Raw genomic sequence first — 24,158 nt, 5'->3', positions numbered from 1 at the left:
ATGAAGCTGGATAGGGGCCTTATAGGATTCTAGAAGGAAATTGGGCTCTACCTTGAGTTCGGTGGGGAGGCTCTGAGAGATTTAAGAGTGAGAACAATAGGATTAGAAAAGTCCTCTGACTGCTATTTGAAGAATAGATTATTTAAGGACAAGAATGCAAAGCAGGATACCAAGGAGGAGGTTTCCACAGTTTTCTAATAAGAGAGGACATTGACTTGGACTAGGCTTAAGACAGTAGAGATAGGAATAAGTAAAAATTCCAGGTGTATTTTGAAGATGGAAGAAACAAGACCTCGTAATTAATTAGATATTGAGAGATAAATCTTTAAAGAGCTATGATGATATGATTAATTGCATATAATATTCAATTATATATTATTAAGCAAAATACTTTTAAATTAGAAAACGTCATTATAATGACAAATAATTTAAGACAGGCTGAATATATTTCTTTTGTCTAAATAAAATGCTCTGCTGTCAGTTTGTCTCCTTTGCCTCCACTCCCCATCCCCCATTAAGAAAAATGCTAAAGAAAATGTGCTACACAAAAGTCAGATTACAGCAAAGTCTAGGGTAATTGGCTCATACTCCAGTTCAGTTCCCATAGTTTCTGTGCATGTACCTTTTTTTAAACATCTACAGTATGTGGAGATATAAAATGAGTCCATTTACAGTGACACATTTAGCTCTAAGATGTGTTATCCTAGCCAATATGTTCATAGATGAACTGCCTTTTTGTAAAGTGTGTTTTCTTTATTACTGTGAAAAAGAGGTTTGGGGCCAAGCATGAGGAACTGGGATACAGTGAGATTCATCCTGGGCACATGCTCTGTGGGCATGGAGGATGCATTCTGTCCAGTCAAAGTGCAGCATTCCCTGTGGTGGTGAGCTCCTGGTGAATCTATCCCGGGTCCAGTTCCAGACTGCTTTGCAGCCAAGCTTCTTCTTTGGCAGGGTTTGCCAGTGCTTTGTCATGGGGGAAGGAGGGTGGGATGTGAGCTCTGCATTGGGTCCTAGGTGAGAATCATACCATTAGTGACAAAGATCTGTGCTGAGGAACGTTAACTGGAGTGAGAAGCAACTGATTAAAATAAAAGATTGAAGAGCCAACGGAATGGAGGCTCCCTGCTCCTCCCCACTACACTGCATGAATACCCTGGCTCTGAGGACGCTCCGACAGGACTGGGCACCACTGGTCCTTCAGGCAGAACTAACTGCATGCCCGTTCCTGCCTGCATCCTTACCAAGTGGCATTTCCCACAGAAGAGAGTCAAAACCATTCCAACCCTGTAAGGACAAGCTCAAGTGTCACTGCCTCCAGGAAGTCTTCACCAGTACCTCTTTCCTGGCTCATTGGTCCTGAATTCCGCTAGCCTGCTGCTTCCTCCAGCCTGGGATCATGGGTGGTGGTCTGGGATCTCTGTAGGTAGCACATGAACAAGGGATTAAACAATGTCTTACCGTGATGAAGTCACTGCCTTTCGATTCTCTTTCAATTCTTATCTTCAAGGCAAGGGAAAAAGTTCAAGTTTGGTGCTAATATGTCTTTACTAACTCTCTGATGCTTGCTAATCATTTTTTCTTAATAAAGAGAGAGCAGGCCTTGGGCTTAGAGGCTTGGCAGCAGTATCTATCTGGAATTTAATAAGATTGTTTTATTTTTCAGATGCTTTTGATTTATGACAGAGATACCAGCGTTCCATTTATGTTTGTGACACAGATCTTCCTTTAAAAATAAATGTACTTAAGTAAAAAGGGGAATTAAGGGGAAATGCTAAGTGATAGGAGAGGAGTTAGGAAAATAGAGCAAACATTGTGAATAACAAAAGTTTAATCAACACAGATCTAGATAGCTCTCATGCCCTGATGCACAGATAGGCAGGTCTCCACATTCATAGACAACCGAGTCCCGAAAGGTATGTGAGAGAAATACGTGCAATAGGTAGACTTATTATGAAAGCTGACAAAATTACATTTCCTGAGTCCAGTATCTATTCTTTAATTGTCTTCCTTTATATTTGAACTCCTAGTCAACTGTGGTCCAAAGAGCATTCAACTGAGGAGGGAGGCTCGCTAATTTTCCCTCACCTAGTGACGCCCATGCTTGAGCTTCATGAAATTTAAGATAATTATTATTATATAGTTATATAATCATTTCATGTACTATCTTTTTCTTCTTCTTTACTTTTATTTTTTAAAAGCAGAAAACAATAAAATGGCCATCAATTGCATGAACACTGCTCTAAAAAGATAACAGTAAGACCGAACCTGAACTGTTGGCTACCTGGCCGTGCCATATTAATAGCTTACAAGGATCAGATATAGAAATATCAATCACAGGTTGTGTAGAGGTGTCCATGTACAGAGCACAACATTGTATATTAAAAGGATGTTGAGCTTTTATAATTATTGCTATGGTTTTATACAGTGTAATAAGCCCATGATAAATAGGAGCTCATATTTTATCTTAATGAAGTGCTATTTTATATTACTTATTGATTTATGTTTTTCCCCCAAGAAAGTTTTAACCTTCTGAGACTTAGAGACTCATTTAAATGCTTTGACCCCCATACCCTCTTTGCAGGGTGCAGGAGGATGTGTATGATCTTAACCTTTACAGCAAATCTCTTCTTTTGGATGGGGTATTGCAATTTTCTTTTAGAGGATCACACTTAGTCCAGTTCAATGTAGTTTAGAAGGGGCTGACTTCATCTCTGGTTCCATGGGTGGACGCTTGATCCACTCTGGTTAAGCAAAATACTGCATCAGTGTAACTCATTTGTGAATGGGTACATGATCCAAGCTGGACCAATAAGAGCCCTACCTAGAGTTTTGCTTGAATTGTTAGGATAAAGGAAATTTCTTTCCTGAAGCACCAAGGTTATTTTCTGGAGAAATCATGACCAAGAGTGAAGCCAATGCATGGAAAAGCAGAGCCGTGAGTAAGAAAGAAAGCCTGGATAACTCTGTTTGTGCTCTAGTTCAAGCCATTTCTGAAAGTATTACTCTAGAACTTTTCAGTCACATAAACCAACAAATTCCCCCTCCACCTTTTTAGGTTTAAGCTAGTTTCAGTTGAGTTTTGCATTTTGCTCTGAAAGAGTCCTCACTAATACATCTCTTCTTCCCACAAGTACAGTGCCAGGCATGTAATGTGTACCTGGTAAATATGTGTTGATTTGAGTGCTGCCAGTTCCCCTATACTTAGAGAACAGGATGGTGTAATCTTTTTTTTAATATACTTTAAGTTCTGGGATACATGTGCAGAACATGCAGGTTTGTTACATAGGTATACACGTGCCATGGTGGTTTGCTGCACCCATCAACCCGTTATCTACATTAGGTATTTCTCCTAATGCTGTCCTTCTCCTAGCCCCCAACCCCCTGACAGGCCCCGTGTTGTGATATTCCCTTCCTTGTGTCCATGTGTCCTCATTGTTCAACTCCCACTTATGAGTGAGAATATGTGGTGTTTGGTTTCCTGTTCTTGTGTTAGTTTGCTGAGAATGATGGTTTCCAGCTTCATCCATGTCCCTGCAAAGGACACAAACTCACAGGATGGTGTAATCTAAATGGCATTGGAATATGAGTCTAAAGATTTAAATCATTGTCTCATTCAGCACATGTTTACTGAGTATTTCCTTAGTGCCGGGCACTGTTCTAGCTTCTGGGAATATTATTGTGAGCAAATAAAGTCCCATTTTAATGGAAAGAATATTCAAATAGAAGAATATATAATATGTCAGGTGGTGATATATTATATGCAGCTATGAATAAAGACTTGCTACCAAGTAGGTGTGGAGACTTTGAGTGAGTCACTTTATCATTCCAAGTTTCAGTTTTCTCATATATAAAAAGAAGAGTTGGAGTTGCAATTCTCTCTCTCTCTCTCTTTTTTTTGCCCCAGGAACACAACCACCACCCACACAAACAATATTTTCATTTCTTAACACACTTTTATAAACCTTAATCCTGAAGCACACCTGAAAATATATTTGTTGGTAGCTGATATTTCCAGGAAATTTTATTTTTTCCTGTGTTTATTGGTAAATTTCTCTTTGTACAATTTTGAGATCTATGAATCCGTTCTTGTTCAGGTTTCCCAGAAATGAGCTGGATTCCCACCAGGTTTTGGGGCTGCCTCAACTAGCTGAATTCCCTTGAGGTCTTCACCTGAGAATGCTGTCTGAGTCTACCTGTTCTGTCTGCAAGTTATTCCTGAAGTCAGTGACAGTTGGTCACTCAGTCACCTTTCATTTGGTGAAAAGCTTCTGTTATCTCTGAACCTTGGCTAAGTTGAGACATCCTTTTCCCCCCACACAGCTCCTCAGTTAATCACTTTACTTATCACTATCTCTGGTCTTGCCTGCCTCTTCCTATAAGTTTTCAGAGTCCTCAGAACTTCTCTCCCAGCGGAAATGGTCTCAGTAGCACTACTGCTGCTGCCTTTTAAAGTGATACCACAAATAAAATTTGGCTCTGAAGAGTGAATCACATCCTGTGCTTCTCAAGTGATGTTTGTAGACCTTATTTCTATATTTGTATATTATTTGAAAAAAAATATTTATTGAGCATATACTATGTGCCTGTGGATGCTGCATTGCTGTGTTTCCTCCAAATCCCTTGTTCTTCTCTCCAGTAGGAGTAGGAGAGAATTAAATTTGCTTTTGGGCAACTACCTTCTTATTCTCATCACACTTACTGTTCTCTCTATTTTGCATACTAGATGCACACTTAGCCCACCACTCCTTATTCCTATATCTCATCACAGCTAGAGGTCCAATGCCTCCTTTCCAGACAATTCCCAGGATGTCTTCCAGACCACTAAGACATCAGGCTCTTGGAAAAACATATCCTTTAGTTTTTTCTAAAAGCCTTTTGGAAGATGACTGTGAGTCCTTTGGGAGGGATTCCTCAAGAGGTGATTTTGATCTTGGGAGTATGGTATACCCTTCATAAACCCTTCCTGGGCATTCTGCTCATAGTATTAGCTTATTTCAGGCTGAAAGCCCTTGAATGGTGCACTGAAGGGATTCATCGTCCACTTATCCCCCACCTGCCATGACATTGGTAGGCCACAGTTTGGGAATCTCCAGCAGCAACAGCATAGTTTGTATAATCCTAGGCAGCCCTATTTTAGTTCCATCCTGCTGATTAAGTCACATGGCCTCCACCATGTTTGTCTCTGAAATGCATGTCAGAATCACTGCTCTGGTTCCATGACCATGCTATTTTGTGCCATTTCTCCTAAGGAGGGAGACTGCACCTGATTTTTCTTAATCTTCCCAGCACCTTCTCACTGCTTTGCATGCAGAGAGTGCCCAGTAAATGTTTTCACAATTGGATTTTGAATCAGTTACTTGGATAGCTGTTGACAATATCCCAGCTTCTTGATAAAGTAAAACCTTATGTTAGTCATTGAATTTCTACCAAAGGCATTGCAAACTGGTTATTGATTTTCTTTTATAAAAAAGAGAAATAAATCTACCATTTGATACTTACTCTGGCACTAAAATGTGAGCTAGGGCAGTCAGCTATAACTCAAAAGTCACGTGAAGCACTTATTAAATTAAAAATAAAAATAAGAGAATAAACATCAGATCGGGATTTAGTTAACTTTAAACAATAGCTAAAAATAAGAGAATAAACATCAGATCGGGATTTAGTTAACTTTAAACAACAGCTAACTGCACAATCTTGAGAAAGTCTGGAGCCCTCTCCATAATTTGGGGGAGGTTTTTTGTTTGTTTGTTTGTTTGTTTGAGATGGAGTCTCACTCTGTCATCCAAGCTGGAGTGCAGTGGCGCGATCTTGGCTCACTGCAACTTCCGCTTCTTGGGTTCAAGCAATTCTCCTTCCCCAGCCTCCCTAGTAGCTGGGATTACAGGCACCCATCACCATGCCCAGCTAATCTTTGTATTTTAGTAGAGACAGGAGTTTTACCATGTTAGCCAGGCTGGTTTTGAAGTCCTGACCTCAAGTGATTCACCCTCCTTGGCCTCCCAAAGTGCTGGGATTACAGGCATGAGCCACCACCCATGGCCAATTTTTTGGGGTTAACTCCTTATGTTTTTCCCTCTTTCTCCATTGCTCATTCACATAGGCTACCTTAGAGCTGTCCTACTCTGTGTCAATGTCAGCATGAAGCTCAGTTTCTTCACTGTTTCCACCAAAATTCATGTACACACAGCCATTTTGTGAATTTTGTAACATGAAAGAACTGGGATAGGTGAGAGAGAGAGTGCTTGGAGAGCATACATTTGTCTGTCTTGCTGGATATACCCATATTCTTTCCTTTTATTTTTTTCCTCCCTCCTTCAGTGGAGAAACCAGTTAATTCTTCCCCTTGTTTCACAACCAACTCTTCCACCTATATGTGTGCCCTCTTCAATCCAAATCATTTTTCTGAACAGTCCACTTCCTAAGAGTACTGGTATCATAAAAATGTCCCCATCTTATGATGCAGAAAATGTGTTTCCCATATTTAATATGGGCTTCAAGTGAAGTTGCTCCCATCTGAAACTCCACTTCTCTCAAGGAGAGTACACTAGAAATGGGGTGAAATTTGCAGTTGGAGTGAAACATTAAAAAACCAAAAAGTTGGAGGAACTGATCTTCAGCACCCAAGCTCCAAAAAAAAAGAACTACGCGACAGCTCCTTCCCATGACTTCTGCTTCTGCAGGGCAAGACCTGAGAAACCTCTGGAGACTTACAGCATGAAATCTAAAGAGCCACATGTCGACAGTGGGAGAATTAAGTTCCTAGCCTGGGGCAAGTGCCTTATGATGGGGATGTCCCTTTACATCCCACCTGTGCATTGAGAAAGAAGTCAGAAGCTTTCCACGAAAGGTTATATAATGAGTCTCCATCGATGGCTCTATGGAATAGACTGTATTAAAACAAATGCAGTAACTGGAAGCCCCATCTTTAACCACCAGAAAGGTCTTTTCCCTCCCAAATGGTAGTGTCCCAGTTTAGAAGGCTAACTGCCAGAAGTTTATTGTGTGCAAGTGTAGCAATTTCTAGTTTCCGCAGGATGAAAATTAGATGAAGGGTACTCGATAAATGCTTGCAAATTATGATGCTCTGGCAGCAGCAGTGCATATCCATGCTTGAGCCCAGCATGATGCTGACTCGTGCTCTCCCAGTGGAAACCCAGCTACTCTGCCAACACTCCTTGCTGTGCAGCCTTCAAGGAGGGCTTCCTCTTAGCTGCAATGCAGCCTTGCAGTGGCTTGCTAGAAGTGTATAGTGAGGCAGGCAAATAAATGGTGGAGAATCATCAACTTGGCCAAAGGAGTGTTGGGTCCATGTGTTCATTGGATTCTAGATGAAACCAAAAAATATATTAGATCATGGAACCTCCAGGGCTATGGTCTCTAGACCAGGAATCAATAAGCAATGTGACCTGTGGGCCAAATCTGGGTATGGCCTATTTTTGTACAGCCTGCAATCTAAGAATTATTTTTACATTTTTAAACAAACAAAGAATATGTGGCAAAATATGTAGGTGGTCTGCAAAGCCTAAAATATTTACTAACTGGCCCTTTAAATGAAAAGTTTGCCAACTCTGCTCTAGGTCAATAATATTCAATCTTGGCTACACACTAGGATCACCCAGGGAATCTTTAAAAACAAAACAACACAGATAAATAACTCTGCCTTTGAATAGGGAAGAACAAACTTTTCTTCTGTCTATATGCACACTCAACACAGAATACCTCTGTGATCAAACGTGTAGGGTCCACACCAATTTGCTATGGACACCAACTGGGTTTTCTATGATTCAATTCAATTCTGACACTTACCAGAGTTAGTAGCAGACCCCACAGGTTAAGAGCTTGATCCCACAAGACTGCTCCCGCTTCAAATGTTGATGGAAAGTCCAGGTTGTCATGTGTGCTTCTTACCAATGGCTGTAAACCAGAGGTTCATACCATTCCCTCCTGGGTTTGACCATTTGCTAGAATGGGTCACAGAACTCAGAGAAAGTTCATTTACAACATTATTGCTTTAATATAAAGGATGCAACTTAGAAACAGCCAGATGGAAGAGATAAGTAGGGCAAGGTATGGAAAAGGGGTGTGGAGCTTTCACACCCTCTCTGGGCATGACCTCCATGTGGTCAGCAACCTGGAAGCTCTCTGAAGGTCTTCTGTTAAGATTTTTTTCTTGTGGAGGCTTCATTACATAGACGTGATTGATGAAATCATTGCCCATTGCAAATTAAGTCAACTTCCAGCCACTTTCCCTTCCCTGGAGGTCAGGGTGGTGGGTGGTGAAAGTTCCAACCTTCTAATCACATGGTTGGCTCCCCTGGCAACCAGCCCCCCATCCTTAGAGGTTTTCCAAAAGTTACCTCTTTAGCATAAACTCACCACTTAGGACATTCCAAGGACTTTAGGAGCTCTGTGCCAGGAATAGAGACCAAGAGCAAATATATATTTATTATAAATCACAATATCACAGCTCTAAACTAACCTACTGAATTAGGCTTTCCAAAATGTCATTTGCATTTTTGTAAACCTCCTTTCCAAGTAATTCTGATGTTTATAAGTGTTGAGACTGATGTATATGCTTTACTTTTAAAAAGATCCTCATTACGGACCTCTGCACTGTGCCCCATTTAGTGGAGTGTCGGGTCTACAGTGGATTAATCACAGCTTGTTTCAGCAGAAGGGATGTTTGAGGCAGGACTGATTAAGAGAAAGGCTCCAAGAAAGCTTTTACTTTGCCCAGGGAAAATCTGAAGAGTTACAACAAAGCTGACATTTATTGAGCACTACTGTATTTGCTAAACACTTTATGTACATTTTCACATTGATTCTTTCAGCAACTCTATAAAATAAATTATCACGAGGTAAATGAGGCTTAAGAAGGTTAAGTAATCCATCCAAGATTACCTAGTTATTAAGTGGTAGATCTGGGATTTGAACCTGGGTATGCTGTACCGCCAGGCTGTCACTGAGCGGAACCTCCAACCTCCAGAACCTGGAGATCTGACAGACCATCTTGGGAGTCACGGTGTGCAATGCATGAAATTCATCAGCTGATACTCTTGCTCTTAAAAAGGGCTTCAGATCTGGGGATCTGGGGCCTCCTGTCTTGGAGAGGATCAATGTGGCAGGGGGCATCTGGATCTTAGCCCCTCACTCACCTGCAGTATTTCTCTGGTTTTGTAGACTCTCATCCTTTCCAGGCCTAAAATGCCACACACAGAACTCTACCCCTTTAGACCTTAGGACATTGTAGAAAGCATGCACCTGCCCACTGCAATGAAGGTTAGGCAAACACAAGGTATAACCCCAATGGTGCCCTCTGGAGTTGTCCAATGCAGAGGCCCTGATATTGATTAATTTTATGGAGGAAACTGAGCCTTAGTGAGATTCACGAACTTGCTCAAAGTTGCAGGGATTCTAAAGAGTGATGTCTGTCTAAGGCCCATCCTCCTTCTGTGATGTCATCACTGCCCTGACTGCTGCCAGTTCATGGACTCATCTGATTCCGAAGGGTCTCTTTTCCCTTCTCTATCCATTTCATTGGAAAGTCACTGGGGGCTTTCCCAATAAAGGAACTGTCCAGTGATTCCTGTAGCCTCCTCGTGAGGTTTGGGTATGAGCTGTCCTTTCTTCCATCTCTCAGTGGCCTGGTTCCTGTTGAAGATTTTTCCCCTTCAAGGAGGCCCAACTGCAGCCACATTGTCAATTGCTCACTGGTTACCATGGAAACAGGTCTCAAGAGGGACTGCTTTTCTCCCTCCCTGAATGAGGCATATAAGGCTTTGTGAGGGGCAGCGCTTCCCCTCTCATGGCCAGGAGAAGGACTGGCCTTGGGTGATGAGGTTTATACTATTTTACCTAGGGACTCCCCCTCTTTGTCAGCATGACATTGCCAATTTCTCATTCTGGAGAACAACTGTTCTTACTTGGAGGACACATCCTCTCTTTTTTGATGGTTAAAAGGCCTTCTCTTTTACAAAATGATTATGATAGTAGAAAGAATGGTTTAAAAGATATCATCACTTTAGTGAAGTAAAAAGTTTGTTGCCACACACAACAACATGGATACATCTCAAAATTCTTATGATGGGTGAAAGAAGCTTTGCCAAAAAGAGCACATACTCTGTGATTCCATTTACATAAAATTTGAGAAAGTGCAAATTCATCTAGAGTGACAAAAATCAGATCAATAGTTGCACAGGCTAAGGCGGAGGGAAGGATGGATTATAAAGGGGCACAAGGAAATTTTTGGGGGGGTAAAAATGTCTTGATTGTGGTGATGCTTTCACAGGTGTATGCATATTTCATGGACACAGGGAGGGTAACAACACACACTGGGGCCTGTTGGGGGTTGCGGTGAGGAAGAGCATCAGGATAAATAGCTAACGTATGTAGGGCTTAATACCTAGGTGATGAGTAGATAGATGCAGCAAACAACCATGGCACACGTCTACCTTTGTGACAAACCTGCATTTCCTGTACATGTATCCTGGGACTTAAAATTAAATTAAAAATAAACCCATCGCATGGTGCATGTTAAGTAGATGCAATTTAGTGTACTTCTGTTAGGCCTCAATAAAGCTGAAACAAAGTAACAATCTTTTGTTGGTTCTCAATTTTTATTTTTACTTTTTGCTTTTTAAAAAAATTTTGTAGAGACAGGGTCTCACTATGTTGCCCAGGCTGGTCTCAAACTCCTGGCCTCAACTGATCTTCCTGACTCAGCCTCCCAAAGTGCTGAGATTATAGGTGTGACCCACCAAGCCCAGGATACCAACATCTAGCAAGCACAGGGCCCTGATGTAAACAGTTCTGGATACAATGATGAAGGAGGCGAAGCCTGCTTCTGTTGTCTTCTCTAGACTCAACCCCGACTCCCAGGATTCTCCATTACAGCAGAAGGAGATTCCATAACTAATTAGCGTTAAGATATCTGGAGACTTAATGGAGCCTGTTTCCTAAGAGTATTTACATTTTACAAATAATTCCTGGGAGTAGTCATGTTCTATCTGGAAGCAGCAATCTTCAGTGGTGGAATTTTAAGTTGCAAGTTACCTAGTCTAAGTAGTACTTTGAGACTCTTTATATTTGCTCGTCTTTGTGAAACGTGGTGATTGATGATTCCTTCTGTATTCCTGGGGCCTTTTGTTGTGTTTTGGCCTATTTATTATACTTACCATTTCTGTTTCCATAGTTATTATTCTGCCCAGAGTTTTTTATGTAAATATGATGTACTGTAGTCATAAACATAAATAAATATATAGGTAGTTATAAATATATATGTATGTGTATCTGTATGTATGTGTATGTGTGTGTATATGTGTGTGTGTATATGTGTGTGTGTATATAAAATGGCATAGTATTTGAACATAATCTACATAAATTTTCCCCCATAATTTAAATCATCTCTGGATTAATTAGAATACCTAATACAATGCAAATGCTATGTAAATAGATGTTATACTGTATTTTTTATTAGCTTGTATTTTTTATTGATTTTTAAAAATACTTTTTATCCAGTTTGTTGAATCAGAGGATGTGGAATCCACAGATATGGAGGGCCAACTGATTGTATGCACACACATATATATGCATTTATACATTTATTTATATTTATAACTACAGTTTTGATTCATGAGGGCAAAATCTGAATGGATAAAGCACTGAGTAAAAATATCTTTGCAGGTTGTACATATTTGTTCAACATCAAAATAAACCTCATCACCTACTGTGCACTCAGAACTATTCTAGCAACTAGACATACAAACAAAAGTAAGACATAGTCTCTGACTTGGAGGCATTGATAATGTAGTATGGAATGTAACTCAGTAAGTGGGTCATTGAAATGAAGTGGGATATACCGGCATCCTTGGAGATATTGTGGGTCCTGGTTCCAAGCCACTGTAATGAAGCAAATATTGTGATAAAATAAGTCACGTAAATATTTTTGGTTTCTCTGTGAGTATAAGTTATGTTTACGCCATACTGTAGTCTATGACATGTGCAATAGTATATGTCTAAAAACATAAATACTTTAAAATACTTTATTGTTCAAAAATGCTAACTATCATCCGAGCCTTCAGTGAATCATGATCTTTCTGCTGGTGGAAAGGTCTTGCTTCAATATTGATCACTGACTATTTAGGATGGTGGTTGCTGAAGATTGGGGTAGCTGTGGCAAGTTTTAAAAATATGACAATAATAAAGTTTGCCATATCCATTGACTCTTCCTTTCACAAAAGATTTCTCTGTACCATGCAATGTTGTTTGAAAGCATTTACCTACAGTAGAATTTCTTTTAAAATTCAAGTCAATCCTCTCAAACACTGCTACTTCTTTATTAACTAATGATGTAATATTATAAATCCTTTATTGTCATTTCAACAACATTCATAGTAGCTTCTATTTTATCTCATGATAAAACTTCTCATTCTTCCAAGTTTTATCATGAGATTACAGCAATCCATTCCCATCTTTAGGTTCCACTTCTAGTTCTACTTCTCTTGCTATTGCCACCACATCTGCAGTTACTTTCTCCACTGAAGTCTTGAGACCCTCAAAGTCATCCATGAGGATTGGAATCAACTGCTTGCAAACACCTGCTAATGTTGATATTTTCACCTCCTTCCATGAATCATAACTGTTGTTAATGACATCTGGAATGTTGAATCCTTTCCAGGGAGTTTTCAATTAACTTTGCCCAGATCCATAGAGGAATCACTATCTATGTATGGCAGCTGTAGCCTTATGAAACGTATTTCTAAAATAATAAAACTTGAAAGTCAAAATTGACTTGATGTATGGGCTCAGGGCATAGGGAAGCCCGAGGAGAGGGAGAGAGATGGGGAAATGGCTGGTCAGTAGAGTAGTCAGAACACACATAAAATTTATCAATTAAGTTCATTGTTTTATATGTGTGAGGTTTGTGGCACCCCAAAACAATTATAATAGTAACATCAAAGATCACTCATCACAGATCACCACAATGGTTATAATAATAATAAAAAGGTTTGAAATGTTGTGGTAATGAACAAAATGTGATATAGAGACATGTGTGAGCATGTGCTGTTGAAAATATGGCACTGATAGACAACACAGTAAAACAATATCCACAAGGTTCAATAAGGTGAAGTGCAATGAAACGACATGTGCTTGTATGCTAAGATCTTAGTAAGCACAGGAAAATAGGACCTAGGGCAGCCATTGGGGTGCCAGCAAACAGCTCTGGAAAGAGGTAATAGCTATACTAAATTCCAAGGAGCTGCGGAGTTAGTCAGCAATGAAGTGAGAGAAGGACTCGCCTGGAAGTGGTTCTTTTGAGAGCCTGAAAGAATGCATTATTTTGGAATGTCCCCTGGGTCCTGGGAGGAGAACAATCTGAAGTGATATTTAGAAACTAGATTATGATTATGTGTTGTCATATGGCCAGTGGGCAGCCTTTGTGAGGTTTCAAGCAGGGTAGTGCAGAAATCAAAATTTAAATTTAGAAGGATCATTTTGGCTATTGTAAAGCTGTTTTATGTGCAGACAAGGTAGCAGTTGAGAATCAGGTGAGGAGACTCCTGTGGCAATCTAATGAAAGGCAATGGTGCCCTGAACACTAGGATACTGGGATAGGGATGGAGGCCAAGGATATATTTGAAAGGTACTAAGAAGGTAGAATCAACAGGACTAGATTCAGTGGATTGATTGGATATAATTGCGGGAACTGTATAGAAGGGAAAGCCAGGAATGACACTCAATGCTTGGCCTCGTGTAACTGCGTGGTTAGTTAATGGAGGATGTGCTCAGGTTTATGTAAGGTTAAAGGAGATGATGAGTTCTACAAGGACTGTTGAGTTGGAGGCAGGAGAGACTCATCTAGAAATCAAGGAGATCACATTTAGGCGTCTGGAACTCAGGAAGCAGGTTCAGCCTGTAAATACAGATTTAGCATATTGATGGAACTTGAAACCATCAGGAGAGGATAAAACAGTAAACATAATTGAATTAAATTCTCAGTGATAGGTTATTTTAGTCAAGACTTTGTCATATGTCACCGGTGATTTTTTGTTTGCACAGCAAAGAAAGAAGTCAGTAATTAGTGGCAGGTATAACTGAGAACTATTCTTTTTTGACTGTAAAGATGGGCATGGCTATTGGGGATTGAAATGTGGTGTCTGGATTAGAGCTGCAAAAGTCCCACTCCATGAGTTTTTATCTGATTGTACACATTTAGGCTTTTAGAAAATGTTTCCATGTCAATCTTCCCACTACACTTGAGACATACCTCTATGAGAGGAGTCAATAACCTTGGCTGATACCATATATTTACATTATGCCCTTGTGCCTTAAGCCCCTTGAGGCCAGGTGCCAGCACGGCTTATTTAAGTTTTGACATGCATTGAAAGATTGGTCTGCTAAACCGACTGCTTCCTCTCCACAGTTCCCATGTTGAGTTTCCTTGCAAATTACTCTTGACTCCCACATTGACTTTTGTGTATTCACGAGAGCAAATTTAAATGGAGAGGTATTTGTATTCAACTGAAAGAAGAATTCTACTTATTTTTTACATAAAGAAAAAATAATAATGGATTTTGTATAATGTGTTGAATACTGAATTTATACGTGTGTCTTTGTGGCTTATTATAATCTAAACTACTGGACAGATGTTCCTGTTGGTTTTTGTACAAACGCTGAAGAGATACCTTTTAATTTGGTCCATGGACTCTGTGATTTTCCTTAGCTTGCCAGACCACATATTCATTCTCCATAATCACCCAGAAAAGTAACCAAAGGTCTCTTTGTTTCTGTCAAATGCTAAGATACACCAATCATATCAGAACGGTGTCCGTTTGTGTTCACATCTTAATTTTCAGCCAACTGTTTTTGTGTTTACAGTCGGCATTAATTAATTTAGGGCATCATGAAAATGGTTTGTGTTTGGTGGGTGAGTTTCATAATGAGCAGAATTTCTGCATGGATTTCTTACTCATTTAACAGTTGAGAACATGCCATTATTTTATAAGCACTACTGATAAATCATTTGGCAAATACTTCTCAGCCGTTTAAAATAATTTTTATTTCCTATGATTTCAATTGTCTCCGCATTTTTCCTTGTAAATAGTTGAAGAGTAAGCACATTTTCAAAGAGCTGTAGGGAGACTGAGATGCCAGTTGCATTTTAACGATATAGGGCATTATCGTTCTTACTGTAGCCAATTCTCTTTTAAATCATTGCAGTTTCTGCTCTAGCCTCCAGCTATAGAATTCTTTTCAAGCCGGCAGTGAACTTGGCAGGTTGCCAGAAGAAATATAAAGGTGTTTTGGTCCACCAAAGTATTTTGAGTGGTTCTTAGTGATACAGTTTTCTTCAGTACATCTGCAAAACATTTTTCTGAAGTGAATTTTCATGTGAAAAGCCTCCTTAATCATCACCAGTATTGTTTGTTTCAATGCAGTTATTTAAGTGCCCCCCTGGGTGCCTACAAAATAAACAAGGGAATCTTCTAAAGAGTTTTAAAAGTGGCAGGTGCTGAGGCTGTGCCCTATTCACTTAGTTTGCAATGACATTTTTGTGCTAATCTATAGACAAACAAGAGACAGGTGACACACCAAATCAAGAACAATGCACAAAAGAAGAAGGTTTTAGCCAATGGGGTCAGCTCTAGAGAAGATGCTTTTGAGGCAAACACATACAAGAAGTAACTGCTTTTTAACCCCCTTGCTGTTTGCATTCTGGCTGTAAAAATCTGATATTGAAACTTGAGATGTTAACTAACTTTTTGATTTTTTTTAAATAAAAACAAAAGATTCAAGATTAAAATGTCTGTGTCTGAATGTTCACATATGTATATCCACTCACATAGACATATATTTATATTTAAAAATATGAATACTATTGTTAAACATTAAAACATGAAAACAACTATTTGTTTGCTATTTTGGCCATGAATTCAATTCACGTATGTTATATTTTCACAACAAACCATGGTATTTGCATGCCAAACACCAACACACATGATGGAATTTAAGAAATAAATGATTAAACACATCCGTATATTTTTGTCTTCTTTATTGATTGCCATGTATATGTAAAACATTTGTTTCTAGTGAACTTGTGTTAAAAGTTGGATTAGTCATTAATTTACAGATACTCGATGGGAAGTTATTTTGTTAAGCTTTAAGGCAGGCACATTATTAACCACCAGCCTCCGATTTCTTTTTTAAAGTAACCCTACTCATAAGTTGGTGAGCAAGTTTTATGGAAGTTTTTTTAAAGCTTTTTTTTTTTAGTAAAAGTTGTAAATAGTACTGAATGCAAAAAACAAAAATGAACAAACAAAACAAAACACTATAAAAGCATCAAAATATTCCATTATGCTAAAGGGTAGAATTTTGAGGACATTTATATACTGCTTAGGAAAAGCTGAAGATTTTGCATATTACCCTATAAAACAAAAGAATCAGACAATGGCATTTTATCCAGCCCTTTTTACTTTAAGAAGCCTTGGCAAGGTTGGTTTTGATTATCATGATCAAGAACAAGAAGTTCTCACTGTGCTGATGGTTAGATCTTTAGTATCACTACATTTCAAGCTTTGTATCTATTGTTTGAGCTCAGCTGCTTCTATGGCAATCAGCCTTGTTTAACAAAAATGTATTATTTACCAAATGAAAATAGAAGGCAACATATACCTTCTTACAGCAAACATGGCAATCCTAGTATTTAGGAACCAAAGGAAATTTAGATATCAATGTTGTGATATTGGGAGCATACAAATGTCATTAGAATTGAATTGAGAATCCATGAACCAAACAAAGCACTTCAACAGATTTGGGTTGAGATTTGTTTGTGATGTGGTAGAGTCCTCCACACCACTTAGAGATGACTACCATTGATGCAGCAGCTGTGGAAGAGAGAGTCTGTTGCCATCACTGGAAGGGTTATTATGTTCTGAGAATTATCAGGAAACTCTCAACCAACTAGGTAATAAGGCAGTTGAGGGTGAGATACTGTCCATTGGCCAGTCTGCATCAAGGCTGCAATGAAAGTCTTTAGCTTTAATATTTGTGGCCTGCTATTTTTCCTACTGAACACATTATGATCATTTTTCCTATCAAACAATGGCTCGGGATTTATCAAAACCACAAGCCTTCTGCTTGCCAGGTTTGCATCTTGGCCTTCAGAGTCAACCCTCAACCTTCATTGAAATACACTATTTCAATGCCTGCCAGAAAAGGGAGTACACAGAACAGAAATTTAAAGAAATGACAACCTTTGAGTAAATGACTATGTTTAGGGAATACATTGTCTGAGAATAGGCTGTTCAGTCTAAATACATTGCAGGCTATTTTTCCTTATAAAAATGGGAACAATTACAATGAAATACAGATTATGTAGAGGATGTGTAACTACCAAAAGGAGGTGATGCTTTTCATGAAGAGAGGCATGGATCCCTTTGGTACTTTGATGAAACTCTGTGTGCACACTCACATTCACACACACATACTGACCACATACACATATAAATAAACGCACATATATGATAGAACTTTAGAGGAAACAGAGACTCCACTGAAGTGAATCCATGGACTTCCCCGAGAACTGTGGACACACCTGGTTGAGGACTCTGTGTAAGAGCATGCAAAATATTGCCAGTCCAGAGTTTCTTTTGGAGGGTAGTGCTAAATATTGCTTTTGCGTTATGACTACCGCATTATTTTGGTGACCAGCACAGAGTGGTGGAAACCAAACACTCTTGAATTGTCTGTCAGTGTAACGAAGATAACTTGCATTTCCACAGGGCTTTATATTTTTGAAACCACATTCCCATCTATAGCCTTGTACAGCAAAGTGCAAATACTGTAGCATTATCTCCACTTTACAGGAGAATACACAAATGTGGGAGTTAAGTGCCTGCCTGCAGACCAGAGATCCCTAACCTTGTACTCCCATTGCTCCATTGCTCTGGCAAGGGCTTTATTGGAACCTGAATCAAATCCTTGTCAATCTTGACTTTTCATTCTTGGTTTTTGAGCACTTAAAGTAGGTCTATGGTTTTGGTCTAACCCATTTGTGTTCTTTCCTATGATCTTTGAGTAGATGATATCAATTTTAAATCTTTTAGGCAGGCCAGTATTTGGAGAATTTATATTACTAAAGAAAACCCAACATTTTCACCCTGAATAAGACATGTGTCATTACCTAACCTTTATAGCATCCTTTATAAGTTGTCTTCAGAATCCCTCCAAAAATGAGCATGTAGTCCCTACCTACACTGGTTAATCATTTTATTTCAGAATGCCCAATAAAAAAATGAAATCGAGAATGGTGGCAATTTTCCAGGCAACTCACATGAAATTAAATAAGAAAAAACTCTCCCAATTTCTCCTTGAAATATCCAAATAATGGAGACAAATCTGCCCCACATGCAGAGCCCTACAGTCATTTCCTTGACATTGTTGCTAAGAACTGGTGTTTCTTTGTCTCTTTCATCAACATATGACAGAAGGATGCTGTCAGAACGCTCATAAAAGATTACCACACCTGATATTTGCCCCATCTTTTTAACTTTGCAATGTGATTTTGCAGCTATTTTCTCTTGCCCTTCTCATAATGCCTTTACATGATTACAACCACTTTATATGACAATCTTAGGCCCTGAGAAGTCATTGTAGTTCAGTATGCTGCTTTCACTGAGTCTAAGCCACCAATGTGAAACATTCACCCAACTATCTAGATGGTGACTGTATACATTTATGGTGTTGTGTCATCTACGGATATTTTCCCATTTGTAATTGCATTTCATCCTCATCTATGGAATCATTAAACAGGAAGCTGGAATCCAGTGTTACAGATCGAACAACTGAGGCTGAGAGACACAGGAAAAGAACTAAATGGGAACAGAACGCTTCTTAATCCCAACCTTTCCCATTGTGTTGGAATCACTGGTCCAGTCTACTGACATGATTGTTGTGCTAGGGAAGGGCCAATGAAGTTGGTTCTTATTTTATACCTGTTTCTTCTGACCCTTCTGTGTCCTTGCAGGCAGCACCTCAATTTACTTTCAAGATTCAGGTAACCAATTTTCTTGCTGTTTGCTTAAGAGCACTCATTTTGAAGTACATGAAACTGGCTTAGACCTTTAGACAGATCCCCAGGGGATGACTTATGTGTGCAGTGGTGAAAGTCGATTTAACAAAACCATTAATTTGAGTTTCTGGGAATAAACAGTAGCTGTCACCCACCATCAGAAAATACACAGTGCTTTGTAATCCAAATTGCAAAGTGCCTGAGAAGACGACTGAATCAAGGAAAATAACTTTGGTGGTTGTTCAAGTCTGTGTATTGTTTTAACTTTCTGGCCAGGATGGTTCATTTCAGTGTGGTTTTCAGAAAACTAGATATTGGGTTGTGCCTGCCACATTTCATCAGTCATGCTGCATTACGTGCATTAGGAGGCCCTATGAATTCTTTTGGTCTCAGATTTACTGCAAGATGAGGCAGAAATCCATTTATGAATCCGAGGAAAGAGACTGTTAAAGATAGTCCCCCTTCACCAGGGGAGACAGCACTTGCTTTTCTCTCACCATTCTTTTGCAACAATCCTCCTGCCAAATCTGGTCCCTTCCCCACAGTAAAAAGACTTACAACTCAAGTAAACCTAAGCTCGAATAGTGAAAAATATTTCTCAGAGACGCATGGCTGATTTTAAAATTGTCTTTGTTTTTTTCTTAAACAGTTCACTGTAGGCAGCATTACTATGATAAGCATAAAAAACAGCTTCAACACCAATGATCTGATGAGCCCGCCAGGGAACACCTACTGATATTCTCAGATGCCTGGAGTGTATGCTTCTGTACGAGGCATGTTCATTGACTTTCTATTTTGAAATTATTTAAAAATATTTAACATAGAATGTTTCAAATGTACAGAAAAATAGCACCATATCTGACACCATCAACCAGACAAATCTAGCAATGTGAACATTTTGCCATATTTTCTTCAGATTGCTTTTTATATAAACAACACAGTCATGTGTATATATGTATATATACACACATATATGCACATATACATACATATGCATGTACATATACACATATAGATATATGATTTTATTAAATATATGTAAATGTAATTGTCCAGAGATCACACTCAATAAAGTGATTATTATCAGACATACTGTATTGGGATGTGAAGCTTTCTGTTTATAATTGGAGCCCTAAACTTCTAATATAGTATGTCTGCTAATAATACTTTAAGAAAGAAAATCTCTTGTCAAATTCTCTAAATCTTTATATGTCTAAAAACATTTATTCTGGCCCCCTCTTTGAATAAAACTTTAGAGGCTGGGCGCGGTGGCTCACGCCTGTAATCCCAGCGCTTTGGGAGGCCGAGGGCGCGGCTCACGAGGTCAGGAGATAGAGACCATCCTGGCTAACACAGTGAAACCCCGTCTCTACTAAAAATCCACACACACACAAAAATTAGACGGGCATGGTGGCGGGTGCCTGTAGTCCCAGCTACTCCGGAGGCTGAGGCAGGAGAATGGCGTGAACCCAGGAGGCGGAGCTTGCAGTGAGCCGAGATCGTGCCACTGCACTCCAGCCTAGGCCACAGCGCGAGACTCCGTCTCAAAAAAACAAAAAAATAAGAGAACTCTAACATTCTAGGATGACAGGAATTGTTTGTATTGCCTGTTGATTTTTTCCTTTTCAAAGTGAATCTATTGCTCCCTTCTGGTGTCCCTTGCTTTCTAACCATGGTCTGCCATCTTGCGTGGGTTACATTTAGATCCAAATACTCAGTGGGAGTCACAGTGTTAGCCCCTGCTGCAAGTTCTCAATTTCACCTTATTAGATGTTTTACATTTGTCTTCCATTTCTGCCAAGGAGATACAAATCTTGTTTTTGAATCTGATCAAATTAAAAAAATTTAAACTACTAATCTCATAAATGTGCATAAAATTTTTAAAAGAGCAGTACGTGTTTAAAAAGAAAAGAGGTAGGCTGGGCGCCGTGGCTCACGCCTTGTAATCCCAACACTTTGGGAGGCTGAGGCAGGCGGATCACGAGGTCAGGAGATCCAGACCATGCTGGCGGATACAGTGAAACCCCGTCTCTACTAAAAATACGAAAAATTAGCCGGGCGTGGTGGCGGGCGCCTGTAGTCCCAGCTACTTGGGAGGCTGAGGCAGGAGAATGGCATGAACCCGGGAGGCAGAGGTTGCAGTGGGCCGAGATTGCGCCACTGCACTCTAGCCTGGGCAATACAGTGAGACTCTGTCTCAAAAAAACAAAAAACAAAAACCCAAAAAAATTAGCCAGGAGTGGTGGTGGGCGCCTGTAGTCCCAGCTACTCGGCAGGCTGAGGCAGGAGAATGGCGTGAACCCAGGAGGTGGAGCTTGCAGTGAGCCGAGATCACTCCACTGCACTCCAGCCTGGGCTACAGAGCGAGACTCCGTCTCCAAAAAAAAAAAAAAAAAGAGGTAATTGAAGGACAGAAAGAGTTCATAGAAAACAAATGTTTATCCAAATCAAAAATAGACTATAAACACTAAATAGCCAAACAGTGAAATAGTAAACTGATAACTTAACAATAGACATTTTCTTAAAATACAGAGCGAAAAGGAGCAAAATTAAAATTATGGAAGAAAGAGAAGATACACAGGATAAATCTATGAGATGGGATATCAAATGGGCGTTACAGAAAGAACAAACATAGATGGGGAGAAAAGTTAAAAAAAAAAGTGATAATAGAACAAATGGATAAATCCCTCAAATGAAGAAATTCTTGAGTCTTTAGGTTAAAAGAGGACACTAAATGCCAGGCAGTGACTTGGAAAAGAAACACACAGAGACATATACTAGTGCTATTTTTGAATTATTAAGATATGTAGAGAGAAACCTACACAATTTCAGAAAAAAGGGTGTAGCATTTATTAAAGAAGGAGAATCAGTCGGGCATTGTATTATATATAATATAAAAATGTATGTATAATATACTTCTATAATATAAAATGTATAATATAATCATGTATAATATAAAAATAGTAGTAATAATAGAGTAGTAATTCCCAATTCTGGAGGAAAATGATTCTGACTTCAGCATTTTTGGATCCTCTCAAACTATTCTTCATGTGTAAGAACAAAAGAAACGGATGATAATATAATAATGATTATAAAAATGAAGTTCAAGGAACGATGTTTAATTAAAGGATAATTTTGTTTAAGGTTGCAGGCAGAAGTGTGTAGAGATGCTGTTTAATTCTTGAAGGAGAAATATAAACTTGTTTATATTTGGTAATGTTAGAGTAGGTATCATTGGTTGTATGGGACAGACATGTACTGAATCTGGCTCAAGGAAGGAAGGATTATTTTAAGGATTTGATGGGCAAACTCAGAGTCACAGCCAATGCCATAGGAACTAGAAATCAGAAGAAATGAAAATCCCACTCACAGTTTCAGGAGCTACTTGGTCCTGTTTCTCTCTCTTAGCATCTGTGTTCTGCCATAGTCCTGTTTTCTTGGCAGCCTCTCTTTGAGCTGGCTATATTTCTATGCACACAGCCCAACAGTGCCACGAGTCATGAGTCTACCAACTGGACACATGTGACTGAACGACCACAGTCTCTTTGGCTCTTAATTCAAGTTTTCAGGAAAAAGAGCCAATGATTGCCTGGCCCTGGGTTATAGATCTGATCATGGATCAATTAGCTAGGATGGGGTGGGGTGTGATCATGAGGTACAACATGGCTAAGTGCTCCTGTCTCTGCACAGGGCATAAAAATAAGAGACGTTCTCACAAAAGAAGTGAGCTGATGGCAAAGAAACATGCCTAGCAAGGTGGAAAAATGTATGACTGGCCACTTGTAGCATAAAAATAGGATAGTTTGGTAATTCTTAAAGAAGATAGCATCTTACGGGAATACCCTACTTAGGAGAAAGTTCCTACCGCTTTCAAATTAAAATACCTCTTGTGGATATTTAACCAGATAAGCTTTCTTGAGCAATGCAGAGAAATACTATTTTACCTTCTCTGTGGTACCTCTTTGACTATCTGATGACAGCAATTGATATCCACAGCTTTTCCTATCATATCTTCTCCAGGTTAAAGTTCTACCTATTGCTAACTTTAAGATTTTTGAGGGAGAAAGAGAAAATGGCACCACTGTTGCACCTGTAGACACTTCTATCATTGCACTTGTCTCACTTGTCACAATTCATCTGCCTCACCTATGAGATCCATTTTGAGCTTTTCAAGGTATTTTGGCCAATTAACTTTTGAACCTCCCGCAACTTGGCCTGATGCCAGGAACATAGTAGGTACATAAAGTAATGAATGCATTAGTCAAAATAACATTTATTTGGAATCCTAAGGCATTTTGTTTCAAAGTTCTAGACAACTCTTTCTTGTTGCTGATGATTTCATTATAAAACAGAAGTACTAACTTAGAGAATCTCCTACTGCACAGAAACACTGTGCATTGCATTAAATGTCTTCCTCAGTGCCACTTTCTGGCAGATGCCTTCTGAACTGACGTGCCTGGGAATCAATCACATGTTCTCCAAGGCATGCTGGAAGGGAAGTTAGCAAAAGTGCAGAGGGACAGGGCTAATTTTCTTGATCTTGGCTCACTGCAACCTCTGCTGCCCGGGTTCAAGCGATTCTCATGCCTCAGCTTCCCGAGTAGCTGGGACTACAGCTGTATGCCACCACAGCCAGATAATTTTTGTATTTTTAGTAGAGACAGGGTTTTACCATGTTAGCCAGGCTGGTCTCAAACTCCCAGCCTCGAAGTGATCTGCCCTCCTAGGCCTCCCAAAGTGTTGGGATTACAGGCATGAGCCACCACACCCGGCCTAGGGCTAATTTTATTAAAGTTGCTTTATCATTTGGGGGGAATGAGAAAAGGAAATGGTGTACCACTGTTGGCTTGTCCCACTGGGGCGCTGAATGACAGCCACTGATTTTAAATCATAATTAGCATTTCAAAAACAAAGACACAGTTCTACTTTCTCACAGTGACCCAGGGGTTCCAGGTAGCAAGGGACAGGGTTAGTCCATGAGATGTTCACCTCTGGAATCTGATGACCCAGGTAATAGGTTATAGCAATCCACCGTTTGTTTAGAAAGATAAAGTAGCTTAAGGTTTGACAGTTGGGCTAAAGG

The 24,158-nt window shown here is 39.4% G+C and overlaps 3 long non-coding RNA genes across 5 annotated transcripts in view, besides 1 other annotated feature; all 3 read right to left on the bottom strand.

The window, feature by feature from the left end:
- Positions 1–729: 729 nt before the first annotated feature.
- Positions 730–22,465, bottom strand: CASC22 (cancer susceptibility 22). The gene is made up of 3 exons (NR_135281.1): positions 22,446–22,465; positions 1,339–1,420; positions 730–1,013 (listed from the first exon to the last, which is right to left on the bottom strand). It is a non-coding gene; the product is annotated as a cancer susceptibility 22 (long non-coding RNA).
- On the bottom strand, positions 6,878–9,437 carry LOC107983961 (uncharacterized). Of its 2 annotated transcripts, none has more exons than XR_007065214.1 (3): positions 9,159–9,437; positions 7,810–7,964; positions 6,878–7,327 (listed from the first exon to the last, which is right to left on the bottom strand). It is a non-coding gene; the product is annotated as an uncharacterized LOC107983961 (long non-coding RNA). The 2 variants fall into 2 exon arrangements; XR_007065215.1 differs by having other exon boundaries at positions 7,810–7,917.
- The window catches only part of LOC105371261 (uncharacterized), a 29,761-nt gene continuing 17,191 nt past the window's right edge, over positions 11,589–24,158 (bottom strand). For both annotated transcript variants that reach the window (XR_933564.1, XR_007065213.1), the window contains one exon: positions 11,589–11,901. This is a non-coding gene — a long non-coding RNA (uncharacterized LOC105371261). The remainder of the gene's footprint in view (positions 11,902–24,158) is intronic.
- Positions 14,909–15,776: an enhancer, noted in NCBI's record as "OCT4-NANOG hESC enhancer chr16:52299165-52300032 (GRCh37/hg19 assembly coordinates)". NCBI's record gives its function as "activates a minimal SCP1, AML or CMV promoter by ChIP-STARR-seq in primed H9 embryonic stem cells {active_cell/tissue: H9 hESC(primed)}" and the evidence as "EXISTENCE:reporter gene assay evidence [ECO:0000049][PMID:30033119]".

The sequence above is a fragment of the Homo sapiens genome, chromosome 16 (genome assembly GCF_000001405.40).
Source record: "Homo sapiens chromosome 16, GRCh38.p14 Primary Assembly".
Lineage (NCBI taxonomy): Eukaryota > Metazoa > Chordata > Mammalia > Primates > Hominidae > Homo > Homo sapiens.
The sequence above is the reverse complement of the archived record's forward strand: the minus strand, read 5'-3'. Positions and strand labels throughout refer to the sequence as shown.